The sequence below is a fragment of the Homo sapiens genome, chromosome 6 (assembly GCF_000001405.40).
Source record: "Homo sapiens chromosome 6, GRCh38.p14 Primary Assembly".
Lineage (NCBI taxonomy): Eukaryota > Metazoa > Chordata > Mammalia > Primates > Hominidae > Homo > Homo sapiens.
This window is the reverse complement of record NC_000006.12, coordinates 43,353,851-43,372,665: the sequence shown is the minus strand read 5'-3', so window position 1 is coordinate 43,372,665 and position 18,815 is coordinate 43,353,851. Positions and strand designations below refer to the sequence as shown.

The 18,815-nt window shown below is 46.0% G+C and overlaps 2 protein-coding genes and 1 pseudogene across 2 annotated transcripts in view, besides 4 other annotated features; 1 reads left to right on the top strand and 2 right to left on the bottom strand.

Annotated features, from left to right (window-relative positions):
- Positions 1-1,324: 1,324 nt before the first annotated feature.
- LOC124901227 (atherin-like) lies at positions 1,325-3,302 on the bottom strand. Its single transcript, XM_047419609.1, has 2 exons — positions 3,279-3,302; positions 1,325-3,243 (listed from the first exon to the last, which is right to left on the bottom strand). Exons 1-2 carry the CDS (start codon positions 3,300-3,302, stop codon positions 2,545-2,547), a joined length of 723 nt encoding a protein of 240 aa, XP_047275565.1. The 3' UTR covers positions 1,325-2,544.
- Positions 2,766-2,865: a silencer, noted in NCBI's record as "silent region_17228". NCBI's record gives its function as "represses an Ori minimal core promoter by ATAC-STARR-seq in GM12878 lymphoblastoid cells {active_cell/tissue: GM12878}" and the evidence as "EXISTENCE:reporter gene assay evidence [ECO:0000049][PMID:35858748]".
- ZNF318 (zinc finger protein 318) overlaps positions 3,019-18,815 on the top strand; it is a 33,578-nt gene continuing 17,781 nt past the window's right edge. The window contains exons 1-4 of the mRNA NM_014345.3: positions 3,019-3,699; positions 7,226-7,374; positions 14,901-15,540; positions 16,521-18,002. Of these exons, the coding sequence (NP_055160.2) occupies positions 3,301-3,699; positions 7,226-7,374; positions 14,901-15,540; positions 16,521-18,002 (2,670 nt within the window). The 5' untranslated portion in view covers positions 3,019-3,300. The remainder of the gene's footprint in view (positions 3,700-7,225; positions 7,375-14,900; positions 15,541-16,520; positions 18,003-18,815) is intronic.
- Positions 3,056-3,255: a silencer, noted in NCBI's record as "silent region_17227". NCBI's record gives its function as "represses an Ori minimal core promoter by ATAC-STARR-seq in GM12878 lymphoblastoid cells {active_cell/tissue: GM12878}" and the evidence as "EXISTENCE:reporter gene assay evidence [ECO:0000049][PMID:35858748]".
- Positions 3,346-3,535: a silencer, noted in NCBI's record as "silent region_17226". NCBI's record gives its function as "represses an Ori minimal core promoter by ATAC-STARR-seq in GM12878 lymphoblastoid cells {active_cell/tissue: GM12878}" and the evidence as "EXISTENCE:reporter gene assay evidence [ECO:0000049][PMID:35858748]".
- Positions 3,546-3,615: a silencer, noted in NCBI's record as "silent region_17225". NCBI's record gives its function as "represses an Ori minimal core promoter by ATAC-STARR-seq in GM12878 lymphoblastoid cells {active_cell/tissue: GM12878}" and the evidence as "EXISTENCE:reporter gene assay evidence [ECO:0000049][PMID:35858748]".
- RPS2P28 (ribosomal protein S2 pseudogene 28) lies at positions 8,447-9,251 on the bottom strand (annotated as a pseudogene).

Sequence of the window (18,815 nt, the reverse complement as noted above, 5' to 3'; positions counted from 1 at the left end):
ATAAAGCCTTCTACTAGAACCTCTTAGAATGTTTGGCTTGTGTCTCCTGGAGTTTGGAGATCCACAGGGATAGTGTCTTAACCCCTACCTGGGGGAAGTCCAAAAGCAAGATGCTGGCTAACTGTGCTGGGATGGTGAATAAGGTGGGAGCCATGGGGAGTGAGCTGCACTGCCTTCGCCACTGGGGCAAAGATGCATGAGTTATCCTGTGAGCCAAGTGGACACACAAGCTAACGAACTTGGAGTCATTTAAAAGAGATCCTTCCCAGGCCGCGTGCGGTGGCTCATGCCACCTTCCCAGCACTTTGGGAGGCCGAGGCGGGCGGATCACGAGGTCAGCAGATCGCGACCATCCTGGCTTACACGGTGAAACCTCGTCTCCACTAAAAAAAATACAAAAAAATTAGCTGGGCATGGTGGCGGGTGCCTATAGTCCCAGCTACTCGGGAGGCTGAGGCAGGAGAATGGCGTGAGCCCAGGAAGCGAAGCTTGCAGTGAGCGGAGATCGAGCCACTGCACTCCAGCCTGGGCGACTGAGCGAGACTCTGTCTCAAAAAAAAAAAAAAAAAAAAAAAAAAAAACAAAACAAAATAAAAGGGATCCGTCCCATGAGAGATAACCAGAGAGGAAAGGGACTCCTGCCACGGGAGTGAGTTTTACATGGGGTAAACCTCCTCCAGAAGGCCAAAGACTTGGGGGAGGGGAGTCATAGACAGTGAACCAGAGGAGGACCACTGCCAGCAAGAGAGTTCTAAAAAAGCCCACAAAGGTGCATAAGAGAGAAAAGCCAACATTTGTGATTCCTCCTTGTCCATAGGGAACCGATTTTGGAAGGTAACAGCATCCTGCACTAACCAGGAAAGTCTGTGTTCTTTCCCTTCAATCCCTTCTCCTCCTGGGAGGAGGGGGTCAGAAATAGCAGCTAGCCAGTGGGAGAGGAGGAGCAAACTTTGAGGAGCAAAGGCAGGGATGTGGAGAAACCTACCATACCACTTTTAATATAGCAAGCTTCAAGTCTGAAGCAGGTAAAAGCAGGGGTAGGGGAGAACCTTTAGCCTGAATAAAGTTTAAAGTTTTGTTCTGTACTATATATTTTCTACTGCAATATGACTACTGTCATGACTGAAAAATACTTGAAAAGTGAAAGGATCTGCAAGAGATTTCATGCAGGATACAGAACTATGCATAGAGCAAGTGTGAAGGGGAAGCAGAAGAGTTTTCTGATTATACACCGTGTCTCCCCCTGTCTTGAAACACCCCAGCTCCTTTGATAAAAATATTCAGTATTAGAAATGGGTTGAGGAGTAAAAGTTGATACAGAATATAACAAACATGATTTAAAATTTATTGACTCCAAGTATCTATACACACTGATTTACATTTTTTTCACATTTATTAAGTCCCACCAAAAGTATGGGTAACCAAAATCCATATATACTCTAATAAAGACAGGGCATACACCTCTGGCATATTTTTATTATTTTTTTCATTAAAATGTTATTGGTTTCTTATTTTATATAAATTATATAAAATGTGAAGCTGGGTAAAAGTAGTCAACTAGTAAAAATTTTATACATTTTTACTGAGTATATGCCATTATAAGAACGTATGGAAATGGATATATATATATATGGATGTATTTTTTGAGAGAGGGTCTCACTCTGTCACCCAGGCTGGAGTGCAGTGGCATGATCACAGCTCACCGCAGCCTCAACCTCCCGAGTAGCTGGGGTACAGGAACGTGCCACCACACTCGGCAAATTTTTTTTTTTTTTTTTTAGAAATGGAGGTCCTTCTACGTTGCCCAGGCTGGTCTCGAACTCTCAGGCTCAAGCAATCCTCCTGCCCCGGCCTCCCAAAATGGTGGGATTATAGGCGTGACCCTTTGCGCCTGGCCCACTTTTGTATTTAGGATGCAGGGCCCTGAGATTGGCATCTAGGAAAATTCTGGACTTAGGCCAGGGGAGGGGGCATGCCTGGATCTCTTACAAAAACTTGCCACGCCTCCAGTTGGTCATGATGTGGGCCCCTGGTAATGAAGGACCTCCACCATGACCACAAGTACTTTAGTCAGAAAACAGCTCGAAAACGTGTGAAGAGAGTCCACCAAACAGGCTTCGTGTGAGCAACAAGGCTGTTTATCTTACCTGGGTGCAGGCGGGTTGAGTCCGAAAAAGGAGTCAGCAGAGGGTGGTGGAATTATCATTAGTTCTTATAGGTTTGGGATAGGTGTACAAAGTACATTCTTAAGGGCGGGGGAGAATATTACAAAGCACCTACTTAAGGGCAAGGGGGAGAATATATCCTGTCAGTTAGGGTGGGGCAGGAACAAATCACAATGGTGGAATGTCATCAGTTAAGGCTATTTTCACTTCTTTTGTGGCTCTTCAGTTGCCTCAGGCCATCTGGATGTATACGTGCAGGTCATAGGGGATATGATGGCTTAGCTTGGGCTCAGAGGCCTGACAACGTCTATTTTGGGTTTGATTCTGGCCCACCACCTCCACCTCGTACTTTCCTATCCTCAATTTCAACCTCTAGAAATTAGGCAAACTGGAAAGTAAACTGATGCGGGTCGTGTTGCTTCAGCTGGGGACAGGATTTCGGTGGGCGCTCCTGCCGGGGTCCGTAACCTCCCACACAGCTAACGTTTACAGGCCCGTTTATATTATCACGAATGGTTTTCAACCATTTCGTGTCCATCCCTAAATTAAGAGGCTTGAGGGGCGGCACGAAAGAGCGAAGACACCTCCGCACGGTCTCCAAACCCCTAAGTCCAGAGGCCTGGAGCATCCCCGGAAAACCAGATCCCTCTCCAGAGAAGCCCTTCCTTCCGCTCCGCCCACCCCGCGCGGAGGCCACAGGGGTCACGTGGCGGCCGCGGGAGGGGGAAGTGGGCGGCTCTGCGGCCGCCATCTTGAGGATTCGGAGGCGGGGCGTGCAGAGCTCAGGGCGCGCGCTTCGCTTCCCCTCCCCTCGCCCAGCCTCGCGCCGGCGTCTGTGCTCCTCCCCACTTTTCTTGGTTCCTGCGGCCGCTCCCTGAGTGGAGGAGCGGGGAACCCCGGAGGCGGGGGGGGGTGTGTCGGACGCGTGCTCGCGCCCTCCAACCGCCAGCCGCGGGGGCGCGCTCGGCCGGGCCCCCGGGGCGACGCGGGGCCGAGGGGAGGGGGCTGCTCCCGCGGCTGAGGCGGCGCGCAGCGGCCGAGGTGGCGGCGGCTGCAGCTGCGGCGGCGCGCTCCGAGCCTGCGTCTAGGGCGCCCCCGGGTCAGAGCTGTCGCCGTGGCCGCCGCTGCAAGAACCATGTACCGCAGCAGCGCTCGCTCCTCCGTCTCTTCCCACCGGCCTAAAGACGACGGCGGGGGCGGCCCGCGCAGCGGCCGCAGCTCTGGCTCCTCCTCAGGCCCGGCTCGCCGCAGCTCACCGCCGCCTCCGCCCTCCGGCTCCTCGTCGCGGACCCCGGCTCGCCGACCCCGCTCGCCCTCAGGGCACCGCGGCCGCCGGGCCTCGCCGTCCCCGCCACGGGGTCGTCGCGTCTCCCCGTCCCCGCCTCGGGCCCGTCGCGGCTCCCCGTCGCCACCGCGGGGCCGACGACTCTTCCCGCCGGGCCCGGCCGGCTTCAGAGGCAGCAGCCGGGGGGAGTCCCGCGCCGACTATGCCCGGGACGGCCGCGGAGACCATCCAGGCGACAGCGGCAGCCGGGTAATCCCACCCCTCGTCCAGGACTCCCTCCATCCCCCAGTCCCCTCCCCCGGAATTCCCGTTTCCAGAAACGCCCGGGGCCTCCAGACCAGGGTCCTAAGCGCGAAGCCTCCGGCCAACTCCCTCGGGGATGCCGAGCCTGGAGGCTTCTGTCAGACCCGGGAGCGTTGACACAATAACGGACTCGGGAGCGCACGGGCGTCTCGTCGGGAGTGCGCGCTCCGTTCCTTAGGAATAGGCTGTTTCTCTCATGCCGGGTGAGGTGTGGAAAGTTTGCCAAGGCGAGGGGCATTTCGTCCAAACCGTGTGTCTTGGTACTTTTTGTAGAGTTGATGTGTCCTCGGGGTTCCGTACTTTTCATCCCCTTACACCTGAGCTGCCTTCCTGGATCTTAGGGGAAAAAGCCGAAATGTCCGTTTTTGTGGCGAGTTAGGGACGCTTGAACCCTACCAGGCTTTACGTCTAGAGTGTAAACTGTTAGCTTAAATGAATTGGAGCTGCTGCTTCGGAATGAAGTGTGCAGGACCACAGTCACTGCCATAGCCACTACCTCTTATCGAGTTCTATGTCAGGAATTATGCCTAGCCTTTCACTTTGCACATTATTTTAACCCTCACAAGTCTTTGAAGTGAGGCAGTTAATACTATTCCTTGTTGTACAGCCGAGGAACCAACCCAGAGAGGTTCAAGTAACTCGACTGAGGTGACACGGCTAAGTGGTGGAGCTGTGCTTCAACTCAGATCCGCCTGGTTCCCCAAATCCATGATTTGAACCTCTATGTTTCACTGCTAGAGGAACGGAGCATGAGTTTAAGTTTAGTTTTAGAAATAATGTTGACCTTTAACCATAACCACCACCCCAAGAGATCCTCTAGGTAGAGTCTGGTTTTTGGGAATTTGTTTTATTTTTAGTTCATCAATCTTTTTATTATTATTATTATTTGAGAAAGAGTCTCACTCTGTTCCCCAGGCTGGAGTGCAATGGCATGATCTCAGCTCACTGTAACCTCCGCCTCCGGGGTTCAATCAATCCTCCCGCCTCAGCCTCCCAAGTAGCTGGGATTATAGGCGCCTGCCATCATGCCCGGCCTCTTTTTTTAAACTTAGTAACAAAGTTCTGCTTTTTTGAGTGGCTCTCTAACATGTATGTAAGTACTGTGAGTACTTTGGTCATGGTTAAATTGATTTGTCACTATGTTAAGATTTCCAGTTGAGCAGTGCCAGTGTGGGTGGCAGTCACTACAGAGGAAGGAAGAACAGAATGCTTGTTTACACAACCTCCTTTTCTTCTCCAGTGCGCAATGTATTTGCTCCAGTCTTTTCTGTCTGAGTAAATAGCATCATCCGTTGCTTACATCAGAAACAGCCATTATCTCCCTTCTTCCCACATCTAATTTGTCAGATTACCTCATCTGTCTAACCCGTTAGCTTTACCTCTAGAATACATCCCCAAAACTGCCATCCTCCTGCCATCACTCTGGTCTAAGCCCTATTACCTCTTGCATGGATTGTTGCATTTGGCTCCTTTACACTCCGCCCTTGCTACCCTCCAGTTTGTTCTGGAGGTTACACAGAAATCAAATTGATTTTTAAGCCCTCATTTTATACATTTGACATGTATTTATTGAGCATCTACTTTGCATTAGGACTGTTCTGGACTACCCTGGGGATACAACAAAGTACAAACCAGAAAAAAACTCCTATCCTTATAGAGTTAATATTCTAGCAGGGAGAGTTGGATAATAAGTTGAAGTTAGAAATGCGATGGTATGTTAAATGTAATTAAGTACTAAGAAGGACTAAGAAGTACTAAAATAGGGCCGGGCGCGGTGGCTCACGCCTGTAATCCCAGCACTTTGGGAGGCCGAGGCAGGCGGATCACGAGGTCAGGAGATCGAGACCATGTTGGCTAACACGGTGAAACACCGTCTCTACTAAAAATACAATAATTAGTCGGGCTTGGTGGCGGGCACCTGTAGTCCCAGCTACTTGGGAGGCTGAGGCAGGAGAATGGCATGAACCTGGGAGGCGGAGCTTGCAGTGAGCCGAGATCGTGCCACTGCACTCCAGGCTGGGGACGACAGAGCAAGTCTCAAACAAAACAAAAAAAAAAGGACTAAGAGCAGAGAAGGGAGTTACAGTTTGTGTGCGTGTGTGTGTATGTAATATAGTGTTGCTCTGTCACCCGGGCTTGAGTGTAGTGGTGTGATCATAGCTCACTGCAGTCTCAAACTCCCACGCTCAAGCGATCCTCTCACCTCAGCATCCTGAGTAGCTGGGACTACAGGTGCGTACCAACATCCCAGCTGATTTTATTTTAAAAAAATGTTTTGGTGTGGGGAGGGATTTCACTATGTTGCCCAGGCTGGTCTCAAACTCCTGGCCTCAAGTGATTCTCCTGCCTCAGCCTCCCAAAATGCTGGGCTTACAGGCATAAGCTACCATGCCTGGCCCGGGGAGTTAAAATTTTTGAGAGTAGTCAGGGAAGGCCTCCTGGGAAGGTGATTTTTGAATAAAGATCTGAAGGAGGTGAGGGTGTGCTGTGCAAGCATCTGGAGGAAAAATGTAGTCAGATGATGTCACTATCCTGTGTAAAACCCTCCTATAACTGTTAATTGCACTAAGAATAAAATCCAAATTTCCCAACTGTGCTTTCTGCCTATCTTTTCCTCTTCTGTCACTTTGCTGCAGCCACACCGGCCGCTTTTCTGTTACTTAAAGTATACCAAGCTCTATACTGAGGTGGTTCTTTTCTTTGCCTGAAACATCTTTCTACCTGTTCTTTGCAAAGCTGACACCTCATTCTTCAGGCCTCAGGTTATCACCTGAGAAAAACCTTTTCTAACCATCCTATCTGAAGTAACTCCTTTTATGGTACCATGTTTTAATGACTATAGCACTTACCAGAAGAATTTTTTTTTTCTTTAAACTTGTTTTTGGCTTACCTCCTTCACTAGAAGTATGTACACTAGAAGTAGGGTTCTGAGAGCAGGGACTTTATTCACTTCTCTTTTCCCATGCCCAGTAAGAATGAGAGGTCACCGTTTAGGAGAGTTAGAGGTATGGGCTTATATCTCTAAGAAAATGATAATTTTTAAAAAGTGCTTTATTTTTGGTATAGTGTCTTACCATAACCATTTCTCACCTTGTTGAACCCCAACTTTGCAGGGTTGTCTTTTGTTTTTGAGACAAGGTCCTGCTCATTGCCCAGGCTGAAGTGCTGTGGTGCAGTCATGGCTCACTGCAGCCCTGACCTCCCAAGCTTAAGCTATCCTCCCACCTCAGCCACCTGAGTAGTTGGGACCACACCTGGCTAATTTTAAACTTTTTTTTATAGAGATGGAGTCTGTGTTGCCCAGACTGGTCTCACATTCTTGCCTGGGCCTATACACCTCAGCCTCCCAAAGTGTTGGGTATACAGGCATGAGCCACCATGCCTGGCTAACTTTGTAACTAGGGAGGAGAGTTTTTGGATGTAGGGATGTCTTGACCCTATTGACTAACCATATTATCCTTTACTTTTGTAGAGACGCTCTCCTGGTCTGTGTTCTGACTCTTTGGAAAAGAGCTTAAGGATCACTGTTGGCAATGACCACTTCTGTGTTAGCACACCAGAACGGCGACGGCTTAGTGATCGGCTGGGGTCACCAGTGGATAATCTGGAAGACATGGACAGGTAGGCATCACCTAAGGCAGGGCCTACTATACTAGTACTTGAAGGCAGAAATGTTGCTGTTTTCCGAATGATATATTTGAAAGGATGGTGCCAGCTCTAAAGTTATTTCCTATGCCACATGTCCAGTACAAAATAAAACGCTGGGATAGAATTTCTAAGTGGGAGGAGTATAATGATGTGTAGACTCTGTTGTTGAATAAATTGTATAGAAAAAAAGACTTTAAAAAGGTCATCTGAGTCTGACTAGAAAGAAGAGGCTGAGGGGACATAATCAGAGTCCCCCAAATGAAGAACAGTTGAGATGGTATAGATTCTAAAACAGTGAAACTATGAGCAGTCCCTTCTCCAAAGAAAAGTTCTGGACAAAATGGGAAGTCTTTTTAAAATGGTGTTATTTTTTAGTTTATCCAGGCTGAAACAGATTCAGAAAGGGTTAGGTAAGTTCATGTCTAATATATGTGTGTATGTGAAGTAGATAAAGTATTAATAGAAAGCTAGAGACCTTCAAAAATGTTTAAGTTCAGTTATTATTTTACAACTATTGAGTGCTGAGGAAGGGTAGATACACTCAAGAGAGTTGGATATAGACCTCAGGTACTAGGAACTTAACCATATATAGATTGTAAATAATCACATTAGGTGTTTTTCACCTCACAAAAGTCAAAGTATGGATGGGAGTTCAGGAAAGCACTCTTTCTCAGAGCTGAGACCATGACTGTTATGGTCTCTGCCCAGCACATTGGGAGTTTTGACAAATGATTAGCAGTAGCAATAAATCAATGTAATGTAATTTCAAACTGAGACTGTCGCTTGCCGTGTTGCACAGAGCATAGCTAGGCGGGTGGGGGAGAGCTGGGCAGGAAGTCTGAGGACCAGTTTTGCCGTTGGTAATACCTAAAAGTTCCATTGGCTGTGGATGCAGTGAAGCAAGGCAGAACAGTCTTTTTTTTTTTTTTTTTTCAGGCTTAATTCACTTTATATTTCTTGTATAAAAACCCTATGTTGTAGCCACAGCTGGAGCCTACGTCCTCTGCACAGAGACTCTGGTGTGTGTCTTGATGAGGTGGTCAGTGAATTCCTGATAGGGAGACTTGGTGAATCCTGTCTCCTTCCAGAGGTCGGGGGTCAGGTAGCTGTAGGTCTTAGAGATGGCATCAAAGGTGGCCTTGGCGAAGTTGCCCAGGGTGGCAGTGCAGCCCCTGGCTGAGGTGTAGCAGTCATCAATACCAGCCATCATGAGCAGCTTCTTGGGCACGGGCTGAGACGATGCCAGTGCCCTTGGGCGCAGGGATGAGGTGCACCAGCACAGAGCCGCAGTAGCCTGTCACCTTGCAAGGAACGGTGTGGGGCTTGTGGATCTTGTTCCCCCAGTAGCCTCTGTGCACAGGGAGAATGGAGAGCTTGGCCAGGATGATGGCCCCGCAGGTGGCAGTGGCCACCTCCTTGGAGCACTTAACACCCAGACCGACGTGGCCATTGTAGTCCCCGATGGCAACAAACGCCTTGAACCTTTTCAACTGGCCAGTGTGGGTCTGCTTCTGCACTGGCATAATCTTCAACACCTCATCCTTGAGAGAGGCCCCCAGGAAAAAGTCAGTGATCTCAGATTCCTTGATGGGCAGGAAGAAGAGGTAGTTCTCCAGGGACTTGATCTTTATGTCCTTAACCAAGCAGCCCAGCTTGGTGACAGGCATCCACTCCTTATCCTTGGCCTTGCCTCCACGAGCTCCGTGGCCTCAGCCCTGTCCACAGCTGCAACCCCAGCCCCTCCATGGAAGCCACCACGGTTTCCCATCCCAGGGCCCCCGGGGCCTCTGCCCCCGCCCCACCCCCTCCACCGACATCATCTGCCATTTGGTGTTTTCTCAGAGAAGAAGCAAGGCAAAATAGTCTTATGTCATATAACATTGAAGCTTCTAAAGGGCTTCAAGATATGTGACTGTATCACTTAATTGAGGCAATAGCCCTTGCTCTTCTGGCTGCTTCTGTTTGGGGAAATTATTGAGTAGGTAGTCTGGGTAGGTGGTACATAGTGTGATTGTCTTCATTCTTTGCTGAGGTTTTGAGTTAGCTTCAGCAGTTCTTCTTAGGCCTAGGATGTCACTTCCCCTTTGCATAAACTTTGTTATGCACATGTGCTTCAGATAGAACTAATTATATTTTTAAATTACAAAAATTAAAATTTTTCCTCTTAAGGAGTTTGGGGCAGCAGTCTTCTTTGTAGAATCATGTGTTTCAGAGGCACAGGTCTACTTTAGAGAAAGTGAGATTAAGGTTCTAAACAAAGATACAAGGCCATTTAAAAAATACTGTTGCCCCCTACACATTTCTCTTCTTTCCCTTTTGTTCAGTATGGTTTGTGTGGATAATTACTGTCCACTAAAACCAGGCCACAGGACCATTGGCATACTCAGGTTGTCTCCTGACAGTGAGTCTAGTCTTCAACCAATGATACAGGCCATTTATATCCTTTGTATGTAGATGTTTGGGCCTGGCGCAGTGGCTCATACCTGTAATCCCAGCACTTTGGGAGGCTGAGGTGGGCCAATCACTTGAGGTCAGGAGTTCGAGACCATCCTGGCCAACATGATGAGATCCTGTCTCTACCAAAAATACAAAAATTACCCAGTGGTGGCGCATGCCTGTAGTCTTAGCTACTCCAGAGGCTGAGGCAGGAGAAGCTTGAACCTGGGAGGCAGAGTTTGCAGTGAGCCCAGATTGTGCCACTGCACAGAACAAGACTCTGTCTCAAAAAAAAAAAAAAAAAAAAAAAGACGTGTATGTAGATGTTTATTTTTTAAAAATTCATTTATTTTTTTATTTTTATTTATTTATTTTTTGAGACAGAGTCTTGCACTGTTGCCTGGCTGGAGTGCAATGCTGCAATCTCGGCTCACTGCAACCTCCGCCTCCCAGGTTCTAGCAATTCTCCTGCCTCAGCCTCCTGAGTAGCTGGGATTACAGGTGCGGACTACCATGCCAGGCTAATTTTTTGTATTTTTAGTAGAGATGCGGTTTCTTTGGCCAGGCTGGTCTCGAACTGACCTCGTGATCCGTCCACCTTGGCCTCCCAAAGTGCTGGGATTACAGGTGTGAGCCACCGCGCCTGGCCCCTTTTAAATTTATTTTTAAGAGACAGGGTCTCACTCTTGTCACCCAGGCTGGAGTGCAGTGGCACGATCATAGCTTAGTGTAGCCTCTAACTCCTGGGTTCAAGTGATTCTCCTGCCTCAGCCTCCCAAGTAGCTAGGAATACAGGCACACACCACCCGACGCCCAGCTAATTTTTCAAATTTTTGTAGAGATGGGGTTCTCACTGTGTTGCCTAGGCTGGTTTCAAACTCCTGAGCTCAAGTGACCCTCCTGCCTCAGCCTCCCAAAGTGATGGGATTGCAGGCATGAGCCACCATGCCTGGCCAGATGTTTGTTTATTTTTTTTCTGAGACTCTAGTAGTCTTTCTCTTCCTTTATTGAATCTGTTAAGTTTTATATCAGGTTTGGATGATAGCCAAGTTGGGTTTTAGTGTCTTCACCTTAGCAGCCCTGTATGTAGGACTGTAATTCTACTCAAAAGGGAACATGAAAGGTAATGTGAAAAATTCTAAAACACTTGGCTTCTAAAGACTTGTGGATGTTAGGTTGATTTCTCCTGTTCATCAAAGTAATTTGCACATTTAATGTTCCATTCATGGAGCTATTTATTTAAAAAAAATTATTAACTTTTTAAAAGACAATGTCTTGCTCTGTTGCCCAGCCTGGAGTGCAGTGGCGTGATCATAGTTCACTGTAACCTCAAACTCCTGGGCTCAAGTGGTCCTCCCAGCTCAGTCTAAAGAGTAGCTAGGACTATGGGCTGCACTGCCACACCTGGTGAATTAAAAAATAAATTTTTAGAAATTGGGTTTCTATCTATCTGTGTTGTCCAGGCTAGTCTCCTGACCCCAAGCAATCCTTCTGCCCTGGCCTCTCCAAGTGCTAAGATTACAGGTGTGAGCCATTGTGCCCAGCTTATCGCCTAATTTCTTCTCCTTATTCTGACAGATTGAAGGAGTGGGATTTTTTTCCCTCTGATTTTCTTTAGGGAATAGAAGCAAACAGCTTTCTTGGGGCATTTTTGGGACTCATCAACAGAAAAGAATGGAGAGTTTAGGCTCTGAAGGACCTTTTAAAATATGTATACATTTTTAACAGCTTTATCGAGATGTAATTTGTATACTATATAATTCACCCATTTGAAGTGTACAGTTCAGTGATTTTTCGCATATTCAGAGTTGTGCATCCCTCACTACAATCAATTTTAGAACATTTTTATTACACCAGAAAGAAGCTCTGTTCCTTTAGCCATTACTCCCTCCACCCTACCCCCAGCCATAGGCAATCACTAATCTACTTTCTGTCTCTATAGATTTGCCCGTTCTGGACATTTCATATAAATAGAATCATATAATATGTGGTCTTTTGTGACTGGCTTCTTTCACTTAGCATATTTTTTTTTAAGGTTCATCCGTGTTTGTAGCATTCCTTTTTATTGCTGATAATATTTTATTGTATGGATATACCATGTTTTGTTTATCCATTCATCAGTGGTGAATGAATGGATAACATTTTGATTCTTTTCACTTTTTGGCAATTATGATTAATGCTGCTCTGAACATTGGTATAAAAGTTTTTATATGGACATACATACATTTTTTAAAAACTTGTTTAACAGAGATTTGTAAACACAAAAATGTAGAATAGTACAGTGAAACCCCATGTCCTTATTACCTAACTCCAACAATCAGTTTTTTTAAATAGATAGACTTTATTTTAGAAAACAGTTGAACTTAACCAAGGCTTTCCGGGAGTATCCATCGCTGGACTCTTTCAGGGTATAGGAGATTGTACCCTTTTTAGGGTTCTTACTACAGCCAGTTCTCTTCTCATATCCTTTTGGAGTCCTGGGGAAGGAGGACATGAGCTTCTAATAAGCAACCTGATTTCTGCCTATATGTATGTGATAGCTTTTTTAAGAAAACTGTTTTTATGCCTTTTTTCTGTCTCTACTGGAGATTCCAAGTCTGGACTACAGCTTTTTGAGAGCCATCTCATTTGTAGCTTCTTGATAGTTAGTACTGGTTTAGACCTTGGGCTAGTATGCCGTTTCATGGTGACATGTAATAGTTCTGGTGGGGAGCTGAATGTGGGAGTGTGAATGAACTTGCCACTCCTCATGGAGCCTATGTTTTTTCTCCCTATACTAATATGGTCAGAGACTTTTTGTATGGTAGATGGTGTTTTGGCAATGGAGTGACTCAACTCATGAACATTCCTCTCTGGAAATAGGTGTGTTTATGGCTGACAGACCTATAGAGAAAAATTTTTACCTCAGTTTGATTTCAGAAATCATCCTTGGTTTATTCCCATTTATTCCTATTTCATACTGCATTGAAACCTCAAAATTTCCCAAATTCTTAGGAAGAAGGTGGGTAACAGAAACCTGGATTCCCACAGGTGGCATTCTTGTTAGAGAAGGTAAATAAAGTTTGTCCTTGATAACCTTTCATAAATTTATTCCTAGGTCTACAACTTTGATCAAAGGCAGGCTGGTGAATAAGAAAAGGCAATGTTTTGAGATTCTGCTGGCATAGTCTCAGAGATAGGAAAGCAACTACTAAAAAAACTAAGGAAAAGTCATTTCTAGAAACTCACAACAAAAGTAGCTACTAGAAACTGTAGAAGACACTAATAGTTACCATCCTCTAGATGATAATTCACTCTGGAATGTGAGTGACATGTAAGAACTTTTATTTTTTATTCAGAGTACTTAGAAGTTTTCATACATAAAGTGCTAGAGGATCTTTATTTCTATCTGTGATTTAAATCAGAAACTTTAGTTTTGTGTCATAGCCATAGCCCCTGAGAAGGTTAGCATTATTGGGTGTGGTATAGAATTCTCAGCTAAAAGAATAGCTGTCCCATCCTGGATTTTTACCTCATGCCACAAAGGTCTGAGACCTTTGTATTTAATGAAATAAAAATATATGGTGAACCAAACCATCACTTTCTCTTTTCTAAGCCCAAGATTAGCAGAGTGCTTGTAGATATCCAGAGAAGGCAAAGAGGGTGACAAAACAGGCTGTGAGAGAGCTTTATGGGTTTTAATATGTGAACCATCAAGGCAAAGCATTGGAGAACCTTCTAAATCTTATGAGAAAATCATGCTAATTAGATAAATCAGTAGTTTTTTTAAAAGTTACCATATAGTGATACTTTTTTTTCCCAATTGAATTATTAGAACCTTAATATACAGACTTAAAGTTGGAATTAGTGTGATTTAACTGGGATAGAAGGTCAAGAGCCCTGCTGGTTCTGCTTTTCTAGTACCTCCTTTCTTTTGGTAGCTCCTGAGCACTCTTTACAACCTCTGGAACACAGCTTTAAAACCATTTATCTGAGCCACGTGTGGAGGCTCACGCCTGTAATCCCAGCAGTTTGGGAGGCTGAGGCGGGCAGATCACCTGAGATCAGGAGTTCGAGACCAGCCTGGCCAACATGTGAAACCCCATCTCTACTAAAAAAATGCAAAAAGTCAGCCAGCATGGTGGTGCACACCTGTAATCCCAGCTACTTAAGGAGGTTGAGGCACAAGAATCACTTGAACCAGGGAGGTAGAGGTTGCAGTCAGCCGAGATCATGCCACTGCACTCCAGCCTGGGTGACAGAGCAAGACTCTGTCTTAAACAAAACAGGCTGGGCGCGGTGGCTCATGCCTGTAATCCCAGCACTTTGGGAGGCCAAGGCGGGCTGATCACTAGGTCAGGAGATCAAGACCATCCTGGCTAACATGGTGAAACCCTGTCTCTACTAAAAAATCAGAAAAAAAAAAAAAAAAAAATTAGCCGGGTGTGATGGCTGGTGCCTATAGGCCCAGTTACTCGGGAGACTGAGGCAGGAGAATGGCGTGAACCTGAGAGGCGGAGCTTGCAGTGAGCCGAGATTGCATCACTGCATTCCAGCCTGGGTGACAGAGCGAGACTCCATCTCAAAACAAAACAAAAAAATCCCATTGATCTGGACTGGTGTTTCTCAAACTTTAAAGTACAGACAAATCACCTGGAGATCTTGTTAAAATGCAGATTCTAGTTCAGATCTGCTTGGGGTGGAGCTTTGAGAAGCTATATTTCTAAAAAGTTCCCAGGTAATGCTAATGCTGTTTCGTCCGCACTACACTTTCAGTAGCAAAGAGCTAGAATTTAGCTTGTGTGGAGTTGTGTAACTTCCATGATATTCTGCATGCCCTAAGTCTAGTCGGAGAAATTACCCAAGAGATCTATCTAGATATGTTGGTAATATTACCTCTTGGTTAGAGGCTAAAGCTGCTTGTTCCCCTGGGGAAAGGGAGAGGAAATGTTCTTGGACTTCATGATTATAGTCTTTTGCCCTAAGCATTTTATAGCCCCCTTGACAAACACCAGTCTCTTAGCCTTGTCTGCTCTTATTCTTTCCAAGTCCATTTGTTCAATGATGCTTCTCTTTTTCCTCAGGGATGACCTGACTGATGATTCTGTCTTCACTCGAAGCTCCCAGTGCTCTCGGGGTCTTGAGCGATATATTTCCCAGGAGGAAGGGCCTCTCAGTCCCTTCTTGGGACAACTTGATGAGGACTACCGAACAAAAGAAACTTTCCTGCATCGATCTGATTATAGTCCCCATATCAGTTGTCATGATGAGCTGTTGCGGGGAACAGAACGGAATCGAGAAAAACTCAAAGGCTACTCCATACGATCTGAAGAAAGGAGCCGGGAGGCCAAAAGACCCCGTTATGATGACACAGTGAAGATAAACAGCATGGGAGGGGATCACCCAAGTTTTACATCAGGAACTCGCAACTATCGACAGCGTAGAAGAAGCCCAAGTCCTAGGTTTCTCGACCCTGAGTTTCGAGAACTGGATCTTGCCAGACGAAAGCGAGAGGAAGAGGAGGAGCGAAGTAGGAGCTTGAGTCAGGAGCTGGTTGGAGTTGATGGTGGTGGTACTGGCTGTTCCATCCCTGGATTGTCAGGTGTCCTAACAGCATCGGAGCCAGGATATTCTTTGCATCGGCCTGAGGAAGTATCTGTGATGCCCAAGAAATCCATTTTGAAGAAGCGGATTGAGGTGGACATAATGGAGCCCTCCATGCAGGTCTCTGCTGCATTTCTTGTAGGGCCTCTTGCTAGTCTCCCTAATATCTTAAAGCCTGCTTACTTTCCTGTGGGCTATGTTCCTAATGGTATCTTTGTAATATGTGCTGGACCGACATTGTGAGCTACACCTTCTAGGACTCTCCAAACGAAACTGTAGGCCTTTTAATGCATCAGTAGAGGGTTCTATTGCTGTATATTAGGCTTTATATTAATAAATAGATATTTTGGAGAGTACTGTAAGTTTTTTTACTTAAATTGGATTATCCTTTGGCAATCTTTGAGTATGGGTTTGTTGGAAATGAACCTTGAAGGGCAAGGGGAGGAGGTGATCTCAATTTTCTCATCTCTCTTTAGAGAGAAGACAAGATGTATGAGTTGTAGGACACTGGACTAGAAATCAGATGATTCTGATTTTGGACCCACTTCTGCCACCAACTTACTGTGATTTTTAGACAAGTCACCTCACCATTCTGAGCCTTGATATTTTTCCCTGACCTGTGAAAGGATGGTCAGACCACTAGTGGAAAGACCACTAGTTTTTAGCTGTCCTCTTAGGAGATAAAGGCTTCTGAAGAGGTTCCCAAGCAAAGGAATGCTGATGAGTTAGCGTTCCAGAGTTTCCTCTCCCCACTTCAGCCAAAGCAGCTTTTTTTTTCCTTTTCTTTTGGGGATCCATAGAAAAGAAAACAAGCTAGGGGATCTCTAAAATTCTTTTGAATTCAAATTCCTTTTAACAAATAGATAAAGGTGAGGATTCCATCCAGTTTGCCTCACTTCCTGTTTCTCCTCAACAGTAGAAACATCTGGAGATAAGGGGATTCACATTTTGAATCTGGCTAAGGATACTTTTCCTCCCTTTTATCCATACTTGTATCTCACCTGTTAATTCAGGAAGACCAAAGTATTTAAGTATTTATCTCAATTACTAATGTTCTGAGATTCTGCATAAGACTAAATCAGTTGTGTTTGTCTTTGCAGCTTGAGAGTTTTTCCAGCAGTACCAGCTCCAGCCAGGATCACCCTCTCTACTCTGGGCACCCATCCCTTCCACTAAGTGGTGCTATTGCTGCTTTTGCCTCAGAGATTGAAAACAAGGGGACTATGGTAGAGACTGCCTTGAAGGAACCTCAGGGCAACCTCTACCAATGGGGTCCCCTTCCTGGGATTCCCAAAGACAACAGTCCTCTCAGAGAAAAATTTGGAAGTTTTCTATGCCACAAGGATAATTTGGATTTGAAGGCTGAGGGACCTGAGCGACACACAGACTTCCTGCTGCCCCATGAGAGAGCTAGCCAGGATGGCAGTGGTTTTTCCCGCATTCTGAGCATGTTGGCTGATTCTACCAGTACACAGGAAAAAAGGCGACGTAGCTTTCCCGACATTGAAGATGAGGAGAAATTTCTCTATGGGGATGAAGAAGAGGATTTAAAGGCAGAATCCGTACCAAAGCCCCTTGGGAGCTCTGAGAGTGAAGTTATGAGGCAGAAGGCAAGCTCCCTGCCGTCTTCAGCTCCAGCTGTAAAGCTAGAATCACTAGAAGAGACCAATCCAGAATATGCGAAGATCCATGACTTGCTCAAGACAATAGGGCTGGATATTGGAGTAGCAGAGATTAGTCAATTGGCTGCACGCACCCAGGAACGACTTCATGGCAAGAAGCCATCATTACGCTCCTCAGCTGACCGCCGTTCCTCAGTTGACCGATACTTTTCAGCTGACCACTGTTCCTCAGTTGACCACCGCTTCTCAGCTGACCGCTGTTCCTCAGTTGACCACTGCTTCTCAGCTGATCGACGTTCCTCAGATCCCCACAGACTAGAGAGCAGGGAGGCACATCATAGCAATACCCACTCTCCAGAGGTGTCCCATCCACACCCACCTTCTCCTGTGGATCCTTACCTGCTCACAAAAAACAGCCCTCCATTCCTAAAGTCTGACCATCCAGTGGGTCATATTTCAGGACCAGAGGTGGTTGGTAGTGGGTTTCAGTCATCTGTTGCAGTCAGGTGCATGTTGCCATCAGCCCCATCTGCCCCAATTAGACTTCCACACACTGCTGCTTTATCTCAGTTTCACATGCCAAGGGCCTCTCAGTTTGCTGCAGCTCGGATACCTCCGAACTACCAGGGACCTGCCATTCCCCCTGCCTCTTTTGATGCCTATAGGCACTACATGGCATATGCAGCCTCCAGATGGCCCATGTATCCCACCTCTCAACCGTCAAACCACCCTGTACCTGAACCACACAGGATAATGCCAATAACCAAACAAGCTACTCGTAGCCGTCCCAATCTTCGTGTGATCCCCACTGTGACTCCTGATAAGCCTAAGCAGAAAGAGTCTCTGCGAGGCTCAATTCCTGCGGCCCAAGTGCCTGTCCAGGTGTCCATTCCATCACTCATAAGATATAATCCAGAGAAGATCTCTGATGAGAAGAACCGTGCTTCCCAGAAGCAAAAGGTGAATATTAGCTTTGGGTATCCTGTGCCTGAGTTTTCTGTTTTGCCATAAATTTGTATATGTTTTTTAGAAGGGGCTGAAAATTTGTAAGGCTCTTTCACTTGAAGTCGTCTGGAGGCTGCTGTCATCATCCTAAGAAGTGTATATTGTTCCTCTGTTTTTCACACATGTTTTATCATTAGGACTAAACAAAAGTCTGGCCTTGGGTCCTATTGTGATTGTCAGCCTTTTTTAAGTTTAATTCTATCCAAGTTAATGGTCTTCAAACACTGTAGATAGGAACTGGGAGCCTTGAAGTCTTCAATATGATTTCGTAGTGGAGTAGGGAACCAAAATTGGGTGTGGTGAAGGAGAATCAGTAAACCTGTTTGATCCCAGTGAATTCTGTATTCTTACCCTGTAATGATTATGAGTTAAAGTTAATAACTAGTTGTTGCTTGATAATTGAAGCAAACCAAGAAATAAACTTTGCTTGTTCTGGTTTATCTTAGAGTCCAGGAGTAACAGTAACATTTTTGACATGTTATTTATTTAAAAAATTACGTGTGTGTGTGTGTGTATGTGTGTGTATGTATACGTATATTTTATATAGAGATGGAGTCTTCTCACTGTTGCCCAGGCTGATCTTGAACTCTTGGGCTCAAGTGATCCTCCCCTGCCAGCCTCTCCCAGAGTGCTGGGATCACAGGCATGAGCCACTGTGCCTGGCCTCTAAAGTCATTTTTTATATTATCCAGGTTCATTGGGTCCCCAGCCTGTGGGAAGAAAGCAGTGACTGGGGTAAAGATATAATAATTCTAATAATTCTGATAA